Raw genomic sequence first — 18,723 nt, 5'->3', positions numbered from 1 at the left:
TCGGGGTGCCCAGTGCTGAGCATGGGGGATCGGGGGTGGGAGCTGGAGGGCGGTGTCAGGGAGACGCCTCATACCCAGTGTGTGTACGGAGTGCCTGGGGAGTAACGGTTCAAACAAAGAAATGAATGAATGAATGAATGAACAACTGGAGGGAGGCGCAGAGGCACAGACCCAGGATGTCAACGCCAGACAGTCACAGAGAGTTCCAGACGCCATGCCAGGCCCCACCCCGCCATCACACACACAGATCTCTTCTTAGATAATATATATTAAAAAATAAACCTCCAATTCAGGGTATAAAAACAGAGCGAAGGCACTTGGGGGTGGGGGTGGAGGGGTGGCCCCCACAGGCAATACTGAGATGGCCCGGGTCACCGTGGTGCCCTCCAGAATGGAGCCCTGAGTCCCCCAAGCAGAGGGCAGGAGGGAGAGATGGCCGAGGCTCATGCGGGGCCAGTAACCCCAGCTGGGCCCCTCCCAGGCGTGGCCCACAGCTCCCTCTCCTCAGGCCCTCGGGGTGTGAGATGCTGCGGCAGCTGTGTGGGTGGGGGTGGTCCCTCACGTCCTCTCCCCCATTCCTCTCCTTCTTGCAAAAGGCCTGGGGGATGTAGGAGAAGAGGGGAGACGGGGAGAGATGGAGAGAGAGACAGGGAGAGACAGACACAGAGACAAGACAGGGAGAGCAGAGAGAGAAGGGGAGGTGGGGAGAGGCAGGCGGGCACAGAGACAGAGAAACAGATTATCAGAAACAGAGACACAGAGATGAGAAACACGAGGTGGAGTGGGGAGATTCAGAAAAGACAAAGAGGGAGATGGACAGAAGGGGCTGTAGGGATGCGAGCTCTGGAGGGGGACCCTCCTTTCAGGACAGCGCCCTGGCCCCCAGGTGCCCCACTCACCTTCCTGGGCGGGAACCTCAAGTGCAGCCAGGCTGGGGGACAGAGTTCCCCCCAAGCTGAGACAGGAGGGGTCTCAGGCGGCAAAATTCCTCCTCCAACTCCTGGTGGGGTGGGGGTCATGGATGAGGGGGGCCCCTTCCTTCCCCAGCCCACTCAGGGCACCCCTGGCCCGTCCCGCCCCACCTCCAGCTGCTTCATGGTCTCCTCCAAGCTGAGCAGGTTCTCCTGGATTTCCTGGGTCCGTGCTGGGCTCAGGGGGCCGCCCCCTGGGACCCCATCCCCATCTCGAGGAGGCCCCGCCCCATTGTCTTCCTCCGCCGGAAACAGAAGCTGCTTCAGGGACAGCACTGGCCAGGGGCAAGGAGGGGTGGAGTCAGGAGACCAGGGGGCTGGGCTGGGATCTGGGATGGGGGATTCCAAAGGGGATGTGTAGGGGCTGGAGGTGAAGGTGGGTGCCAGGCAAGGCTGAGCAGATGGGGTTCGGGGATCCAAAGGGAGGTGAAGAAGTGAGGCTGGGTTTAGGGTTGGGACAGGGCAGGAAGGTACTGAAGACAGAGATGTGTTCAGGAAGAGGCTAAATATAGAATCAAGCAAGGGATGGTGGCTGCAGAAGAGGGACGTGGGCACCCAGGACAGTGGTGCAGGCTGGGTGGGTTTGGAGCATTTGTTTTCTGGCAGCTGGGCGTAAGGAAATTTTTGACGTGGAGAGCCTTGTTCTAGTTGGAACAGAGGCACTGTTTGGGCTGGTGGCCACCCTGGAGGGGCAGAGCTGGGCTACCTTTCCGAAGGGCCGTGGCAGCGAGCTGGCCCTCGGGGCCTGGTCTGCAGAAGGGCAGGAGGTCACTGAGGATTCTCTCGGTCCGGGCTGGATTGGGGAACAGAGAGGGAGCTCAGATCCTGCCGGGCCTCCTGTGGATGCCTCTCTTCACCCGGCAGCCCCAACCTGGCCCCTCACCCAGCATCCCTCTGGTCTCACCATCAGCTGGAGACGTCTCTCGGCCACCATTGCCGTTCTCAGAGCTGCTGAGGAGGGGTTCTCGGGTGCTGAGGGGAGGAAGTGCTGGGTGACCCCACACCCCTGGCCCTGGGGGGCCGCAGGGGCAGGGAGACAGAGAGCTGGAGGTGGGGAGGCAGGGAGGTCCGGAGACAGAGACAGAGGTCGAGGCCGGGAGACAGGGAGACAGAGAGGCCCAGACAATGGAAGACACAGAGGCCTGGAGACAGGAGACAGACGGGGCAGTGGTGGGGTCGGCACATGCGCACACACACACACATGCATGCACATGCTGTCACACGCATGCACACATATGCATACACACACACCATACACGCACACACATGCACACGCACACATGCATGCATACACACACTATATATGCACGCACAGTCACATACTTGCGTACAGACACACATGTATGCACACACATGCATTCACACATGTGCATGCTCACACAGAGACGGTTCTGGAGTTGTGGAGGGAAGCCTGCCCCGCCTTCCGGCCCCACTCCCTGAACCTCCAGCTCTCTCCATGGCCCCCCTCACCTGCTCGGGCTGGGCCGGGGCTTAGGGCGAGAGGCAGGGGCAGGGACTTTCAGGGATCCGGCAGTCTCAGTGATGAGAGCACACCAGCTGGGGAGAAAGGCCAAATCCCTGGGCAGTCAGAGCCCCCAGACCCTATGCCAGGGCCTCCCCACAGCCCTCCTGTCCCTGGGAACCCAGAAACCTGGGCGTCCTCCACCCACACTCAGAACTCAGACCCCCCCTCACTTTTTCCGCTCCGACACAGTCTGTGCCACCAGCTCGTATATCTGGGCCTCCTGGTCCCAGGTAAAAAGGACGTAGAAGGCTTTGTGATCTGCAGGGAGAGGGGGAGATGGGGCTCAGAGCCCAGGTCCCCCCAGTGCCTGCCCCTCCCTAAGCACAAGCTGGAGAAGTCACCCACAGTGGTGGCGCTCTCAGGGCTCCCATGGCTCAACTCACCACTCACTGTCTGCTAATATCCAGGGCCCGATGTGTCCTCCTGAGCCCCACCTCTCACACCTCCTTATGGAATCGGGCATGTACCCTGGCTTACCTAACGAAACCCCTCCAGCCACTCCCACCCTCCAGCCGCTTCCAGTGTTTGTGGCCCTGGTGCAACTTCCTAGTAGTATGTTTACAAATCCCTCCTCACTGGACTCCTGGCCTTTCTTCTCCTTGTTTACACAAGACACGCCTCTGTGCAAACACCTGCAGCAGTTCCTACCTCACTTATAAACCCTCTAGGCCTGGCCCCGCCCTGCCCACCTCCACCTACTTCTCAACCTCTTTGCTAGAATGCTGGCTCCCTGGCTCTCTAGAGGGTTCTGCTCCCCACTCCACAGGCAGCTCTGCCCAAAAAAGACACCCTCTGCCCTGGGCCATGCAGTGGCTGCACTCACCGGTGGCCACCTCGCGGGTCATGGCGGAGGTGAGCCGCAGCACGGGCCGCAGCATGGTCTTGCCATCGGGCGTGGGCGTCAGTGTCCGGCTATGGGACTTGAGCAGCAGCCGCTCGTCCTGGCGCTGGAGCAGCAGCAGCAGGTCGTCCAGCAGCAGCACATGCACCTCTACGGGGCGAGCAGTGCTCACACGGCGTGCCCCCGCGCGACCCCCTCCCCGCCCTTGGCTCACTGCCCCAACACCCTGCACTAGGCAGCTGCTCTGGCACTCACCCACTGCCTTGTCCTTAGTCACCCGCCACGTCAGTGGGCCCTCGTGGACCAATTTCTTCTTGGTGATGTCCAGGTTCTGGGGCAGGAGGGGGTGATGGTTTGTGCAGGTTGGCAGGGGGTGATTGGGGTTGGTGGGGAGGGGAAGGGCAGGGCAGTGGCCGGGGATGACCACAGGCTGGGGATCATGGGATTGGCATGAGGTGGGGGACAGAGCTCTCGCTTCCTGGGTGTATTATGGGATGGGCAGGACAGGCTGGGGGCTGTATCACAGAATCCCCTGGGCCAAGGAGTAGGGGGGCGGGGGAGGCAGGAGGGTATGGTCACACCTTGAACTCGCTCAGCATAGGGTCGCTGCTCTGCCGAAGGTGGGACAAGTCCAGGCGCCGCTGATAGTCCTTGAGCCTCTGGGGCAGAGACGGGAGCATTATGGGGACAAGCTAAGTGCTGGGGCTGACCTGCAGTGACCCACATTGGTAAGATGAGAGCCAAGACCAACTTCTGATGCGGGCAAGCTGAGGGTTGGGCCTGACCTCCAATGACCCTGAGAGGGAGATGCTGAGGGCCAAGCCAACCCCTGGACACAGTGACCCTTGAGGGAGACAAGCCAAGGGGTGGGGTGTGACTTCTGGACAGGCTGAGGTAGGGTCCACCCCCTGCTCTCACACCATCCACTGTCCCGGGTGTGGGGCCAGCCCAGGCTCACCAGCAGGTCCTCCATGTCACGCACGGCTTGGTTGACGTGGTGTAGAATTTCCCGGCAGCACTCGGCTGCCAGCTCCACTTTCTCCCGTTCTGTGGGCTCTTCTGCAGGCAAGGGAGAGAGCAGCTCTGGTGAACCCCTGCCCTGGAGGCTCCAGATTGGGCAGCCAAGGTTAGACAAAGGACAGCTGGCCGGGCATGGTGGCTCACGCCTGTAATCCAAGCACTTTGGGAGGCTGAGGCGGGAGGATAGCTTGAGACCAGGAGTTCAAAGCCAGCCTGGGCAACATGGCGAGACCCCGTCTCTAAAAAAAAAAACTAAAAAAATTAGCTGGGCATGGTGGTGTGCCCTTGGGGTCCCAGCTACTTGGGGAGCTGAGGTGGGAGGATGGTAGATCCTGGGAGGTTGAGGCTGCAGTGAGCTGTGATGGTATCACTGATGAAAATGAGTGAGAAAAAAAATGTAAAAAAAAAAGAGGAGAGCCGAGGCCCAGAGATCCAGGCCCGCGGTACCTGTGTTCTGCCCGATGCTCTGCAGGAGCAGGGGGTACTTGGTCAGCCGCTGCATCTCCGTGGGGATCATGTCCTTCAGCTGCAGGCGGCGGCACCGCGGGCGGCTCTCAGCTTCCTGCGGGAAACATGCTGGTGTTGCGATGGCCCAGGCTTTGGGCTCACCCCAGGGCGCAGGCACCTAGGAGTCTGGGTCTCCAGGCCCCTCCTCCCTGGGAAGCTGGAGTCCAGACCCCACCTCACCTGCACGAAGGCACAGAACCGAGGGTCCTTGCGTTGCTTGGCTTTGAGCTGCTCTAAGGCAAATGACTGGCGGCTGCAGAAGCGGGAGGAGATTTTCTGGAACCAGGAGCCCTCAGCACCATCAAACTACAGCGAGATTCAGGCCAGGCAGGTGTCTCAGTGGGGATGGGCAAGAACAGGGACTAAAGTACGACAGGCTGGAAGCCCAGACCCTGGGACTGGAGTAGGGTGGGCTCAGGACCCGTCCCGGGCCTGAATTCCATGTGTCTAGCTGGGAGGAGCGGGAGGGCTGGGCATCTCACCCGGGCCAGCAGCACGTCTCCGATCTCCTCGATGAGGTAGCCACTCTCCTGCCTCCGCTTCATCAGGCGATCGAGGAACAGGGCTGTGGGGGCAGGAGGAAAGGGATGCTCCACCAGGGTCTGGAAGATGCTGTGCGGGGCCTGCTGCGGTGTGGTGGGGGTAGGGCTGCAGGTGTGTCTGTGTCTGATCCTCGGGACCGGATGGCGTATCTGCCCCCACCCCATGTGAACCCTGGGGTTCCCGAGCAGGTTGAACCCAGGGCTAGAGCAGAGCTGCCCGTGGGGCAGTGGGGTACACAGAGGGACCCTGGCTCTGCACTCACAATGCACCTCGATGAGCTCGTCCAGGCTGGGGAAGATGTTCTGCAGCTCCTCCAAGGGGAAGAACAGGCATTCTGCCATGGGCTGGAAGAAGAGGTCGTGCAGCACCCGCAGCATGCGCACGTGGGCCGCCTCTGTCACCAGCAGCTCTGCAGGGCCACCAAAGCAGGAAGCATGTTGGGGAGGGTGCAGACTAGGGGGCATGACCTCATGGGCAGGCTAGAGGAATGAGGCAGAGCAGGGAGGAAAGCTTCCTAGAAGTTGGTGGGAAAAAACTCTCTCTGGCTAGCCATGGTGGTTCACACTTGTAATCCCAGCACTTTGGGAGGCCAAGGCAAGAGGATTGCTTGAACCCAGGAGTCCAAGATCAGCCTGGGCAACATGGTGAAACCCTGTTTCTACCAAAAATTTAAAAAAGAAAAAAAATTAGCCCAGGCATGTTGGTGTGTGCCTGTAGTCCCAGCTACTTGGGAGGCTCAAGTGGGAGGATCCCTTGAGCCCAGGAGGTTGAGGCTGCAGTGAGCTATGATGGCATTACTGCACCCCAGCTCAAGCAACAGAGCGAGACCTTGTCTCAAAACAAAATGGCTGGGCACAGTGGCTCATGCCTATAATCCCAGCATTTTGGGAGGCTGAGGCAGGTGGATCACAAGGTCAGGAGTTCAAGACCAGCCTGGCCAACATGGTGAAACCCCATCTCTACTAAAAAAATACAAAAATTAGCCAGGTGTGGGGGCGGACTCTTGTAGTCCCAGCTACTCGGGAGGCTGAGGCAGGAGAATCTCTTGAACCCGGGAGACAGAGGTTGCAGTGAGCTGAGATCACACCACTGCACTCCAGCCTGGTGACAGAACGAGACTCCGTCTCAAAAAAACAAAACAAAACAAACAAATAAAAAAAAAAACTCTCCGGGTGGAGTCATTTGCCCTCTTAAATAGCCACTGAGGGGCCGGGTGCAGTGGCTCATGCCTGTAATCCCAGCAATTTGGGAGGCTTAGGCGGGCAGATCACGAGGTCAAGAGATCAAGACCATCCTGGCCAACATGGTGAAACCCCATCTCTACTAAAAATACAAAAATTAGCCAGGAGTGGTGGTGGGCACCTGTAGTTCCAGCTACTTGGGAGGCTGAGGCAGGACAATCGCTTGAACCTGGGAGGTGGAGGTTGCAGTGAGCGGAGATCACGCCACTGCACTCTAGCCTAGGCGACAGAGCGAGATCGTCTCAAAAAAAAAAAAAAAAAAAAAAAACCAGTGAGGATTCCTCAACCCACTGCCTTTCCCTTTTCGCTGTGGCAGCTGGCCAGAGTGACCAATGGTCCTCATTTGCCTGCCTGGGCTTTCAGTGATAAAACTGTGAATATCCTGAGCAAATGGGGACAAGCTAGTCATCCCACCTGCCAGCAAGCTTGCAGCTGTGTTTAGTGTCTAACCATCAAGCCACATTATACAGTGGTTGACAGCCTCAGATCCAGGGACCCCCACATCCCCGGAGGGCATATGTGTGAGTTTCAGGGGCCCTAGAAGTCCCCTGAGACTAAAAGCACGATTTTGTACATTATGCATATTCTTTCTGGGGAAAGAAATTGCTATCCTGTCCAACGTGATAGTCACCAGCCGTGTACAACTCTTTACATTTTCGTTAATTGCAATGAAATTTTAAGTCAGTGCTCAGTTGTATTTAGTGCTTTTTTTTTGAGACACAGTCTTGCTCTGTCACCTAGATTGAAGTGTGGTGGAGTGATCTGGGTTCATTGCAACCTCCATCTCCTGCTTCCTGGGTTCAAGCAATTCTCCTGGCTTACTCTCTCGAGTATCTGGGATTACAGGCATGCGCCACTATGCTTGGCTAATTTTTGTATGTTTAGTAGAGATGGGGTTTCACCATGTTGGCCAGGCTAGTCTCGAACTCCTGACCTCAAGTGATCTGCCCACCTCGGCTTCCCAAAGTGCTGGGATCACAGGCATGAGCCACTGTGCCTGGCCTAGTGCATTTCAAGTGCTCACCAGCCATAGGTGGCCGATGGTCCCCATGGTGAGCAGTACAAATAAAGCACATTTCCATCTTCCAGAAAGTCCTAATGGGTAGCACATGGCTCATGTTTTTTTTTTTTTTTATCATGTCCTTAGAAGGATCTGTGACCCAAAAAGTACTCAACTACTCCCCTAAAATTTTTGAATAAGTATCTTTTTCACTATGAAGTAATCTGTAAATAAGCTTTCAGTCAAGTCCCAAACCTTTCTCTTGGGCTAGGCACAGTGGCTCACGCCTGTAATCCCAGCACTTTGGGAGGCTGAGGCGGGCGTTCGAGACCAGCCTGACCAACATGGAGAAACCCCGTCTCTACTAAAAATACAAAATTAGCCGGGCGTGGTGGCACATGCCTGTAATCCCAGCTACTCAGGAGGCTGAGGCAGGAGAATCACTTGAACCTGGGAGGCGTAGGTTGTGGTGAGCCGAGATTGTGCCATTGCACTCCAGCCTGGGCAACAAGAGCAAAACTCTGTCTTAAAAAAAAAAAAAAAAAAAAAGCTTTCTCTTTTTGCCACCAGCCTCCCTAGCCACCACACAATTAGCAAAGGAAAAAAGGAAAAAGACAAAAATGATACACTCATCATCTCTCCACGCAGAAGCAAGCACTGCTAATATACTGATCATTCTCCCAAACTTTCCCCTGTGGGGATCTTTTCTCCCCTAAGCAATTAAGATCAAACTAGTAACAACAATCTCATTAAAATGCTCTTCCTTGACTGGGCCTGGTGGCTCACACTTGTAATCCCAAGACTTTGGGAGGCTGAGGTAGGAGGATCACTTGAGCCCAAGGGTTCGAGACCAGCCTGGCCAACATGGCGAAACCCCATCTCTACAAAGAATACAAAAATTAGCCAGGCATGGTGGTACATGCCTGTTCAGCTACTCGGGAGGCTGAGGTGGGAGGATCAGTTGAGCCTGGGAGGGTAAGGCTGCAGTGAGCCGTGATTGTGCCACTGCACTCCAGCCTGAGAGACCAACTGAGACTCTGCCTCAAATAAAAATTTAAAAAAATAAATAAAATAAAATGCTCTTCCTCTGTGCCCAGCACTATGCTAAACATTTCACACAAATCATCTCATCTTCATGACAATATCTGAGGTAGGAACTATTAATGCCCACATTTCACAAGCAAGGAAATAAAAGCTTGCACCAGAAATGCAGTGTTCTCAACATCAGCACTGTATTGCACTACTAGAAATGTTTGGAAATGTCCCTTCCACAGTGGCATTCACATTCCATCAAAATGCTCTGTGTTGAAACAATCTGAACTTGGAACAAGAGGGAATTTGAAGCTGCCTTCAAGTTCTCCCGATGGTAAATGACACCAAGATGAACATCTCTCTGCGCCTGTCTTTGCCTTTGCCAGAGCTGGACTGTGTCCTTGGCCACAGTGGGGTGATGGGGGCAGTACTCACCGCTGATGACCTCCTGCCGCTTCACCTGGCTCTTGGGCAGGCTGTGCAGGGTGTCTGGGGGGACGAGTTCCCGCCAGCCGGGAGGCTCTTCTGGTTCAAGCTCCAGTCCCGACCGCCCCGGCTCCCCCTCATCTCCAGGCTCGGGGCTGTGGACAGAGGCCTTGTTAGGGCCCCAGCTTGGGCCATCCCAAGAAGCAGCCTTCAGCCTCTTAGAGCGTTCAACCCCGGTCAGTGGCCTTGGCATTCGATGCCCGCAGGGTGGCCCGTGCAGCAGACCAGGTCTCTAGATCGGACCACACTAGAGTTCCCAGATCTCTAGAAGCATTCTACCCCCTCCTCCTCCAAGGTCTGTGACCACAGTTGGCCTCAATGACCTCGGTCTCCAACGCCCATTCCTCTGTGACTCTGACAACAATCCCTCCCTGATTCTCCAGGCTGCCTTAGTGGATGGGGGAAGGGAGAGGGTTGACATACGTGGCTCGTCGGGCAGGGCCAAGCACTGCCGTGGCGGAACTGGGGTCCATGTCCACGTCGCTCCGGGAGCGGCCCCCACCCCGGCCCTTAGCCCCGAGGCTGCCCCGGGAAGGCCGGCGGCGGTCACTCACCCGCAGGCTCTCTGAGCGCCCCAGACGCCCTGATAGCCTGGACCCCGAGGCCAAGGACAGAGTCAGGCAGATGCCGGGGACAGAGACAAGGAGAGACCAAGACAAGAACAGAGACGAAGAGAAACCAGGACAGGGACAGAGACGGGGAGAGACCAGGGCAGGGACAGAGGTGGGGAGAGGCCAGGGCAGGGACAGAAATTGGGGAGAGACGAGGACAGGGACAGAGACGGGGAGAGACCAGGACAGGGACAGAGACAGGGAGAGACCAGGACCGGGGCAAGGGTGACCAGGACAGGGATCAAACATGCAACAGAAGAGAGGAGAGAGTCAGAGGAGTGGTGGGATTTTAGGGGCACTGGGGTAGTGGGGGGTCTTGGGGGAGGGGGGATACTGAAATTTGATGGGGGAAGGGATGGGGAACCCAGGATGGAGCATAGGACTGACCCCCTCCCTTCCCTGAGGCAGGGGGATGGCAACAGAGGGGGTGTTATGGGGTGGGGAGGATTTCCATACTTAGCTCTTCAACTGGGAGGGTGATGTCCCCACCCACCCCTCACAGGGAGTGAAGGGGAGGGAGTGGCCATGGGGAGAGGGGAGGGGCTGGGAGAAATGGGGGAGGGGCTAGCCCTTCCCCCACCCAGGGCCCAGGCACCCACCTCTTCCACCTTCTGGGGAGAGAGGGGCACAGGGTCAGAGGTGGGCCCAGATGGAACCTGACCCACCTCCCCGCACCCACCAAAGGGTCCCCAAAGCAGCGGCACAAGGACGGGCAGGAGGCAGAGCCTGCCCCCCAGCTGTAAGGGGGACAGGGCCCCCAGGGCACAGAGCAGAGGGGTGGGGGGTTGAGGGACGGGCACCAGGAGGCAGGAGCGAGGCGGGGGGTGGGGGGCAGGGGGCAGGGGGGCTTGAAAGAGAAGGGGAGGAAGGGCTGAAAAAATGAAAAGTGGCAGGGAGATCGGAGGGGGATGGAAGGTGGGGAAAGAAAACCCAGGTGAGAGAGGAGTGGGGAGGAAAGAGAGGAGGGGGAAGGTGAGAGAGGAGGGGGGAGGTGAGAGAGGAAGAGGGAGGTGAGAGAAGAGAGGGGAGGTGAGAGAGGAGCGGGGAGGTGAGAGGAGGGGGTAGGTGAGAGAGGAGGGGGGAGGTGAGAGAGGATGGGGGAGGTGAGAGAGGAGAGGGGAGGTGAGAGAGGAGGGGGAAATAAAGGAGATGGAAGGAGTGGTGGAGAGGAAGGGAGGAGGAGAAGGATTAGTGAAAAAAGGAAGGAGAGGAAGGAGCAGAGGAAAAAGGAAGGATAAAAGGAAAGGGGGGCAATGAGGAAGCAGGAGGGAGATGAGAAAAGGAAAGAAGAAGGGAGAGGAATGGCCAGACCCAGAGAGCAGCAGAGGAGCATGGGGAGCAAGAGCCTGGGACAGGCAGGCACAGATGGCAGCGGTGACCCTGCACCCACCCACCAGCGCCCAGTAAGCCACACCTCCCGCCCCTGCACCCCAGCCTGGGCACCTCTCGGTTTCGGCCCCCTCGTCGGTACTCTCTGGGGGCGCCAAGGACTCCAGGCTCATTGGGCCCTGCGGGGATGAGTCCCCCAGCTCCAGGGGGGCGTCAGCACCTGTGGGGTGGAGGGAGCAGGGCTGGCTGGAAGGCCTCTGCGGCCACGAGACCCACACTCTGGGGGCCTGGAATTGCGGGGGCTAAAGCTACCCAGTGCCTGGCAGACACCACATGGCTGCTCTGTACTTCAGCACGGGACGGACAGATGTTAAGACCTCTCAGAACATGGCCACTAGGGGCAGGAGCATGAAGATGCAACAGAAGTGGGTGCCCCTGTGTGTCCTGGGTGGATGGGGACCCCAGGCCTAGCAAATAGGTCACAAACATCTCTCCCACCCAACCAGACTGCAGCCCCCTGAGGTCGGGAGGGCCCTGGATTCTGTGCTGCCTCCACGTCCATTCATCCTCCCCACCCTCTCATACTCCTTTAGAGAAAAGCAAACGGAGGCTAAGAAAGGGGAGTCATATCCAAGATACTAAATAAACACAAGCAGTCAGCAGAGCTGGTGTGTGAGCCCTGGCCTGGCCATGCAGAGATCCAAGGGCCTGAGGCCACAGCAGTGTAAGGATGGTGAGGGATGAAGCTCATGGGGCTGGCGGGCTCCCCACCTAGGGGGCCAGCAATGCAGCTCAGAGGGTGGACTGGTCATGTACTCAGGGAAGGTTCTGGAAAAGGAAGGGTTGATGGAAAACGTAGTCCAAGGGGGTGGGAGACGCAGCACCAGCAGAGAGGTCAGAGCCTGGGAGCAAAGCTGTGGAAAGGGCAAACTGAGGGAAGGGGAAAGTTATGAATGACAGTGGTGACCAGGAGCAGGGAGAAGTGGATGCTGAGAGCAAAGGGGAGGTGTTGCTGGGGAATGGCTTCTATCTGGGGGTGCCAAGGGGGCAGGCAGCACCCCCACCCTGGATCGCCGGGCCTCATGGAGCCCTGGCCCAGGAAACTCTCACCTGGTTCCCGGTCTGGGCTGTCCAGGGACAGAGGGTGCAGAGAGACTCCAGGGGTGTCCTGCCCAGGAGCCCCGATATTCCGGTCCCGAGAGGGCATCCCCACGCCTCCCTTCCGGTCTGTAGCACCTGGCTTCTCGGCTGGGGAGACAGTGAGGGAGAAAGAGGGAGATAAGAGAACAGTAACTCAAATCCACAACCGCCAGGGGATGCAAGAGGCTGTGCTCAGGCCCTTCCCCACCATGACAAGGAGCCCCTTCCTCCCTCAGACCCAGGAGCCCTCAACCCCTCCTCCCTCAGACACAGGAGTCCAGGCCCCCAGCCCCTCCTCCCTCAGACCCAGAGGTCCAGGCCCCAGGCCTTCCTCCCTCAGACCCAGGAACTCCCCCAGCCCCTCCTCCCTCAGACCCAGGGGTCTAGGCCCAGCCCTTCCTCCTCAGACCTAAGAGTCCGAGTCTGAGCCGCTCCTCCCTCAGACCCAGGGGTCCAGGCCCAATCCCTCCTACCTCGGACCCAGGGGTCCAGGCCCCAGGCCTCCCTCCCTCAGACCCAGGAGCTCCCCCAGCCCCTCCTCCCTCAGAGCCAGGGGTCCAGGCCCAGTCCCTCCTCCCTCAGACCCAGGGGTCCAGGCCCAGCCCTTCCTCCCTCAGACCCAGGAGCTCCCCCAGCCCCTCCTCCCTCAGACCCAGGTGTCCAGGCCCCCATCCCCTCCTCCCTCAGAACCAGGCGTCCAGGTCCCAGCCCCTCCTCCCTCAGACCCAGGCGTCCAGGTCCTAGCCTCTCCCACACAGGCCCCCAGTATGGATGCTATGGCTACAGGTACATTACCATCAACCTCTGCTTTGAGGTGTCGAAAATCTGGAACTGAAACGAGAGAGAATGAGACAGTGAGTGGGAGCAGCTGGGGAAGACAGGGGAGGGCAGAGGCCAGAGCCGCCTTACCCTGGGGCTCTCCCCGGTTCCAGCGGGCGGCATCCAGGATGCTGCTCAGCCCCTTCTTGGTCTTGGCAGGCTCGTCCGACCGCCGGTTCCCCATCACCTGTGAGAGGGCGGGGAGGAAGACCAGGCTAAGCATCTCTGAGACAACAACAAAGCAGAATTTGACGCTAGGTATCCAGAGTCATGAGGCTCCCAGGGCGTCTCTGGAGAGGAAAGGGTCAGGACGGGGCACTGAGGGAAGCACCTTTTTCCGGAAGAAGTTCCTCCCCGACTTCTTGTCTCCACTCTTGGTCCGCACCCCAAGGTGGCGCATGTACAGGCCAATGGCGTTGACCACGGCAGCACTGTAGGGAAGGGACAGTGAGGGCTCAACACACACAAAGACACACACACACACACACACACACACACACACTCACACACACACTCTCTCTCTCTCCCCCTAGAGGCAGAGGCCCGGCCTTCCCATCCTGACCCCACAACTACTTCCTGTGAGACTCTGAGGAGAGATGAGAGGGTTCAAAAGGACAGGGGCAAGGGCTGTTACCCAATGCCCAGGACCCAAGTGTCCAGGCCCCAGGCTCCTCCTCCCTCAGACCCAGGAGTCCAGGCCCCCAGCCCCCTCCTCCCTCAGACCCAGGAGTCCAGGCCCCCAGCCCCCTCCTCCCTCAGACCCAGGAGTCCAGGCCCCCAGCCCCTTCCTCCCTCAGACCCAGGAGTCCAGGCCCCCAGCCCCCTCCTCCCTCAGACCCAGGAGTCCAGACCCCCCAGCCCCCTCCTCCCTCAGACCCAGGCGTCCAGGCCCCCCAGCCCCCTCCTCCCTCAGACCCAGACGTCCAGGCCCCCCAGCCCCTTCCTCCCTCAGACCCAGGAGTCCAGGCCCCCAGCCTCCTCCTCCCTCAGACCCAGGAGTCCAGGCCCCCAGCCCCCTCCTCCCTCAGACCCAGGCGTCCAGGCCCCCAGCCCCCTCCTCCCTCAGACCCAGGCGTCCAGGACCCCAGCCCCCTCCTCCCTCAGACCCAGGCGTCCAGGCCCCCCAGCCCCCTCCTCCCTCAGACCCAGGCGTCCAGGCCCCCCAGCCCCCTCCTCCCTCAGACCCAGGCGTCTAGGCCCCCCAGCCCCCTCCTCCCTCAGACCCAGGCGTCCAGGCCCCCCAGCCTCCTCCTCCCTCAGACCCAGGAGTCCAGGCCCTCAGCCCCCTCCTCCCTCAAACCCAGGAGGCCGCACGCCTCCCCTGCCCCCCTCACCTCTTTTCTTCGTCGGTAGAGATGGTATGTCTGTAGGAGGAAGAGAGATGTTTGTGACATATTTGCTAGGCCTGGGGTCCCCATCCACCCAGGATACATCTCAGGGTTGCTGTCCTGGGATAGGCAGGGGGAAGAGAGACAGAGAGGGGACACTGTGGAAGGGATTGGGAAGGACTGTCATAAGAGGGAGGGAGGTCTCTCATCCAGGAGGATGGGATCCAAGTGCCAGATCATGGACAAGACCCAGAAATGACAAGGGAACCCCAAAGCTGGAAAGGGAAGACTCGGATTCAAGGTGAGTTAAAACACCAGGGTAGAGGAAGACCCCCAGTGCCAAGAAATGAACTCTGACCCTGAAGAGGGAACCTGCAAACGGGATGGAACATGCCAGAGGTAGCACGGGTGCCCTTGTGCTGGGGAGGGGCGACGCTCCCACCAGGGCTGGCCTACTCACTGCATCTCCTCCAGGTGCATGAGCAGCCGCTCCGCCACGTGCCGCTCCCGGGCCTCGTAGCTGGCTCGGTCCCGCCCAACCCAAGCCTCCAGCTGGGCCAGCTCCTGCTCCCAGGGCGTCATGCCCATGAGCCGCTTGGAACGGAAGTCCTCCAGCTGCCGGCCCACGGCTACCTGCTGGCTTTGCACCACCTCCTGCACGAACCGCCGCTGGACATCCTCGGAGATGAGGTCAGCCCTAGTGCGGTCTGCAGGGACACACATGGGGGCTAGGGTCCAGCTCCCTGGTGGCTTGGACCACGGTCCCCACCCACCCTTGGACTCCAACAGCCACACGTCCTGAGGCCGCTGCCAAGAAGGAATGAATGAATCTCGGCTGTCCGAGCAGAGCATGGGAGTGCGGCCTCCCTCCCCTTGGCCTCCTGGGAGGTGTGGTCCCCGCTAGACACCTCTCCCTCATCCCATCCTTCTCCTTACCAAGTTCAAAGGCGACGTTGGGAGGGACCGGCACCCGGAGAACCTGCTCAAGAGAGAGAATGGGGTGAAGAGGAGGACTTGGTGTGCTGAGATGCAGGCCGGGAGGACTGCCAGGAACCCTGGTCTAAGCGAGGGTGCTGGGGAAGGCCTGGGTCAGCAGCTGCCCTCAGGGCAGAGGCTGGGGACCGCATGGTGACTCTGCAGGCCCAAACAGGGATTGCAGGGTTGGGGCAGCTTGAAGGTCTCTCACCGCTGTCTTCTCCAGGAAGCTGTGGTAGAAGTCCAGGAAGGCCTTCTTGGCCTCCTTGGGGCCCAGTGAGCCCAGCATGTCGGCATGCAGACAGCAAAGCTGGGGGAGACACACAGCATGACTCTCCGCTCCCTCACCCTGCCTCAAACCACACTCTCCCTTTGAAAAGGGCCTTCCTCACCTCCTGGCCATCCTATGGCTGTGGGACTCAACTGCCACTTCCTCTGGGAAGCACTCCCTGACCTCCACCCCTAAAGCCAGGCCCTGGGTTCCCCTGCAGGCTCCCTGGGGCTGCCATGAGCATTTTCTAATTTTCCATCCTGTGCTATGGTCCTTTGTGGTTCTTCATCATGGTCTCCTCCCGGCAATAATGACAACAACTACTACTACTGTCTATACTGACGGCTTAGTGTATACCAGACACGGCTCTACACCCTCTACATGCATTAACGTGTTCAATCATAGGGACCGTCATTATCCCCATTTTACAGATGAGAAAACGGAGCTCAAGAAGTTTAGTCAAGCTTAGTCGCACAACTAGGCTAGGCACAGTGGCTCACACCTGTAATCCCAGCACTTTGGGAGGCCAAGGCAGGTGGATCACATGAGGTCAGGAATTTGTGACCGGCCAGGCCAACATGGCGAAACCCTGTCTCTACTAAAAATAAAAAAATTAGTCGGGTGTGGTGGTGGGCACCTGTGATCCCAGCTACTCGGGAGGCTGAGGCAGGGAGAACTGCTTGAACCCAGGAGATGGAGGTTGCAGTGAGTGGAGATTGTGCCACTGCACTCCAGCCTGGGTGACACAGAGCGAGACTGTTTCATAAATAAATAAATAAATAAAACCCAAAATCACATAGCTACTAAGTGGCAAAGTTAGGATTCGAATCCAGGCAGCCTGTCTCTACTACACTCCACTGCCTGGAAAGACTGTGAGCAGCTTAAGGGTTTGTGTGTGTTGAGGGGTGTTGTAGGTTGATCCATCTGTGTCCCAGATGGTGGTGCCTTGTGCATACTGAGGGCTTGGAAAGAACAGGTGGACAAGTGGGGCTCACTCTGTCATTCGTCAAGCATTTCCTGAGTGCCCGCCCCTGTTCTGGGTGACAGTGGGGACTCCAACCTGTCCTGGCTCCTGGGGGCTCTCATCTGGGAAATGAACTCACTCCAATGGGAGTGGGACTTTTTCTCCTTTTTCTTTTTTGAGATGGAGTCTCGCTCTGTCACCCAGGCTGGAGTGCAGTGGCGTGATCTCGGCTCACTGCAACCTCCTCCTGGGTTCAAGCGATTCTCCTGCCTCAGCCTCTGGAGTAGCTTGGATTACAGGTGCCTACCACCAGGCCTGGCTAATTTTTTTTTTTTTTTTCCGCCTAGGCTGGAGTGCAATGGTGCAATCTCGGCTCATTGCAACCACCACCTCCCAGGTTCAAGTGAGTCTCCTGCCTCAGCCTCCCGAGTAGCTGGAATTACAGGTGTGTACCACTGTGCCTGGCTAATTTTTCTATTTTAGTAGAGATGGGATTTCACCATGTTGGCCAGGCTGGTCTTGAACTCCTGACGTCGGGTGATCCACCTGCCTCAGCCTCCCAAAGTGCTGGGATTATATGCGTGAGTCACTGCGCCTGGCCAATTTTCATATTTTTAGTAGAGACGGGGTTTTACCATGTTGGCCACGCTGGTCTCGAACTCTTGATCTCAAGTGATCTACCCACCTCAGCCTCCAAAGTTCTGGGATTATAGGTGTGAGCCACCATGCCCGGCCCCACTTTTTTTTTTTTTTCAAGACAGGGTTTCACTCTTGTCGCCCAGGCTGGAGTGCAGTGGTGCAATCACTGCAGCCTCAACCTCCCAGGCTCAAGCTATCCTCCTGCCTCAGCCTCCCAAAGCGTTGGGACTACAGTCATGAACCACCAGGCCCGGTCCTCCTTCTCCACTTTAAACAGTTTTAACACATCTATATCCACTCTTCACACCCCCCAAATATAGCAAAATTCTAAGACAGGCCAACAGGAAGCTGCCCAGGGGACCACAGCTATCTCTGATCGGCTCCCCACAAGCTGATGAGGTGAGGGAGCTATGCGAGAATAAACCTCAAAATGCCCAGAGGCCGCCGGGGTCACCTCAGGCAAGTCCCTGACCCTCTCTAGGCCTCGGTTTCCACATCTGTAAAAGAACATGGTAGTCAGCACGATCCCTGGGCTGATGTCCACAATCTGGTGTTCTAGAAACCCCAAGGCTTGAATAGGGGACTCCCTTGCTCAGAGGGCCAGAGTCTCCGTGCATGTGGTTGTCGGGGGAACCACTCTTCTGGAAAGAGAATGTAGACAGGGGAAAGACTGCAATTTCCTAATTTTCTGCATATCTGATGGTTTGGCGTCCGGATGACCAGCCTCTGGTCTTGCAGCTGACATGTTCTTCTTTCTGCATGCCTCGGGCACTTCTCCCCACTCTATCGGTTTCCTTGTTTTCTGGAGGGGTCCACTATGCATGTCCACATGGTGCAGTGCCCTGGCTGTCCCCAGGCTGTCCTCCTATCCTGTGCTGGGCTGGACGGGGTCTTCTTGGGATGAGACCCTTGTCTACAGATCCCCTGCCAGCCAGCACTGTGGCCTCTCCCTTTCTAAATCACCTGCTGGGTTTTCTAGACTCTGCGGGTGTTTCTGGATGGCACGGTTGTCCATCCACATCTCCCAGGTATCTTCTGCCTCATCCGGAGGCTTCTGGATCCACAATTGTGTGGTCTGCCTTGTGAGCTGTGTGTGGTGGTTTTCTTGTTTCCAGATCAGGGCCTGCTGTGCTCCCTAGACCTGGGATGGCTAACAGCTTCTTTTTCCCAACCATCAACCGTGAATGACTGCGTGCTGGCATCTGCCAAAAAGGCTTTGGAGAGAAGAATTTGGTCCCCTAGAGTTCACGGAAAGGTGCTGCCACAGGCTGATGGGGGCGCTGCCACAGGCACAGAGTGGGATGGGATGTGGTTTCTGCCAGGCTGCTGGACTCTCTGTGGCTCCGCGGGGTCCTGACGTGTGTACCCTGCCCGCTGCGCACTGAGATCTACCCTGGGCACTTGTAAGCCTGTTGAGGTCACGTGGCATGCTTTCTGGCTCTTGTCTAAAGCATTCTCTCTTTCTAGATCTGGCTCTCTGT

General features: G+C 58.1%; 1 protein-coding gene across 15 annotated transcripts in view, besides 6 other annotated features; it reads right to left on the bottom strand.

The window, feature by feature from the left end:
- The window catches only part of ARHGEF1 (Rho guanine nucleotide exchange factor 1), a 46,958-nt gene that overhangs the window by 22,439 nt on the left and 5,796 nt on the right, over positions 1 to 18,723 (bottom strand). For 2 of the 15 annotated variants that reach the window (NM_004706.4, NM_199002.2), the window contains exons 5-29: positions 15,580 to 15,678; positions 15,330 to 15,372; positions 14,854 to 15,100; positions 14,400 to 14,429; positions 13,397 to 13,496; positions 13,156 to 13,252; positions 13,042 to 13,077; positions 12,217 to 12,354; positions 11,221 to 11,326; positions 9,116 to 9,261; positions 5,670 to 5,816; positions 5,347 to 5,429; positions 5,045 to 5,170; positions 4,805 to 4,919; positions 4,296 to 4,396; positions 3,919 to 3,996; positions 3,593 to 3,668; positions 3,320 to 3,487; positions 2,667 to 2,754; positions 2,442 to 2,528; positions 1,876 to 1,943; positions 1,678 to 1,764; positions 1,083 to 1,246; positions 900 to 1,000; positions 251 to 598 (exon numbers count right to left, since the gene is read on the bottom strand). In NM_004706.4, coding sequence (NP_004697.2) covers positions 917 to 1,000; positions 1,083 to 1,246; positions 1,678 to 1,764; positions 1,876 to 1,943; positions 2,442 to 2,528; positions 2,667 to 2,754; positions 3,320 to 3,487; positions 3,593 to 3,668; positions 3,919 to 3,996; positions 4,296 to 4,396; positions 4,805 to 4,919; positions 5,045 to 5,170; positions 5,347 to 5,429; positions 5,670 to 5,816; positions 9,116 to 9,261; positions 11,221 to 11,326; positions 12,217 to 12,354; positions 13,042 to 13,077; positions 13,156 to 13,252; positions 13,397 to 13,496; positions 14,400 to 14,429; positions 14,854 to 15,100; positions 15,330 to 15,372; positions 15,580 to 15,678 — 2,514 coding nt within the window. In that variant the 3' untranslated portion in view covers positions 251 to 598; positions 900 to 916. Of the gene's footprint in view, positions 1 to 250; positions 599 to 894; positions 1,001 to 1,082; positions 1,247 to 1,677; positions 1,765 to 1,875; positions 1,944 to 2,441; positions 2,529 to 2,666; positions 2,755 to 3,319; positions 3,488 to 3,592; positions 3,669 to 3,916; positions 4,048 to 4,295; positions 4,397 to 4,804; positions 4,920 to 5,044; positions 5,171 to 5,346; positions 5,430 to 5,669; positions 5,817 to 9,115; positions 9,262 to 9,589; positions 9,758 to 10,376; positions 10,389 to 11,220; positions 11,327 to 12,216; positions 12,355 to 13,041; positions 13,078 to 13,155; positions 13,253 to 13,396; positions 13,497 to 14,399; positions 14,430 to 14,853; positions 15,101 to 15,329; positions 15,373 to 15,579; positions 15,679 to 18,723 lie in introns of those variants that run through there. The other 13 variants (XM_047439665.1, NM_001396006.1, XM_047439662.1 and 10 more) reach the window with 12 other exon arrangements.
- Positions 1,520 to 2,124: an enhancer, noted in NCBI's record as "H3K4me1 hESC enhancer chr19:42409731-42410335 (GRCh37/hg19 assembly coordinates)". NCBI's record gives its function as "activates a minimal SCP1, AML or CMV promoter by ChIP-STARR-seq in naive H9 embryonic stem cells {active_cell/tissue: H9 hESC(naive)}" and the evidence as "EXISTENCE:reporter gene assay evidence [ECO:0000049][PMID:30033119]".
- Positions 2,730 to 3,334: an enhancer, noted in NCBI's record as "H3K27ac-H3K4me1 hESC enhancer chr19:42408521-42409125 (GRCh37/hg19 assembly coordinates)". NCBI's record gives its function as "activates a minimal SCP1, AML or CMV promoter by ChIP-STARR-seq in primed H9 embryonic stem cells {active_cell/tissue: H9 hESC(primed)}" and the evidence as "EXISTENCE:reporter gene assay evidence [ECO:0000049][PMID:30033119]".
- Positions 3,335 to 3,940: an enhancer, noted in NCBI's record as "H3K27ac-H3K4me1 hESC enhancer chr19:42407915-42408520 (GRCh37/hg19 assembly coordinates)". NCBI's record gives its function as "activates a minimal SCP1, AML or CMV promoter by ChIP-STARR-seq in primed H9 embryonic stem cells {active_cell/tissue: H9 hESC(primed)}" and the evidence as "EXISTENCE:reporter gene assay evidence [ECO:0000049][PMID:30033119]".
- Positions 9,197 to 9,697: an enhancer, noted in NCBI's record as "H3K4me1 hESC enhancer chr19:42402155-42402655 (GRCh37/hg19 assembly coordinates)". NCBI's record gives its function as "activates a minimal SCP1, AML or CMV promoter by ChIP-STARR-seq in primed H9 embryonic stem cells {active_cell/tissue: H9 hESC(primed)}" and the evidence as "EXISTENCE:reporter gene assay evidence [ECO:0000049][PMID:30033119]".
- Positions 11,249 to 11,791: an enhancer, noted in NCBI's record as "H3K27ac-H3K4me1 hESC enhancer chr19:42399985-42400527 (GRCh37/hg19 assembly coordinates)". NCBI's record gives its function as "activates a minimal SCP1, AML or CMV promoter by ChIP-STARR-seq in primed H9 embryonic stem cells {active_cell/tissue: H9 hESC(primed)}" and the evidence as "EXISTENCE:reporter gene assay evidence [ECO:0000049][PMID:30033119]".
- Positions 12,751 to 13,251: an enhancer, noted in NCBI's record as "H3K4me1 hESC enhancer chr19:42398525-42399025 (GRCh37/hg19 assembly coordinates)". NCBI's record gives its function as "activates a minimal SCP1, AML or CMV promoter by ChIP-STARR-seq in naive H9 embryonic stem cells {active_cell/tissue: H9 hESC(naive)}" and the evidence as "EXISTENCE:reporter gene assay evidence [ECO:0000049][PMID:30033119]".

Source organism: Homo sapiens, chromosome 19 (assembly GCF_000001405.40).
Source record: "Homo sapiens chromosome 19, GRCh38.p14 Primary Assembly".
NCBI classification, from domain to species: domain Eukaryota; kingdom Metazoa; phylum Chordata; class Mammalia; order Primates; family Hominidae; genus Homo; species Homo sapiens.
The sequence above is the reverse complement of the archived record's forward strand: the minus strand, read 5'-3'. Positions and strand labels throughout refer to the sequence as shown.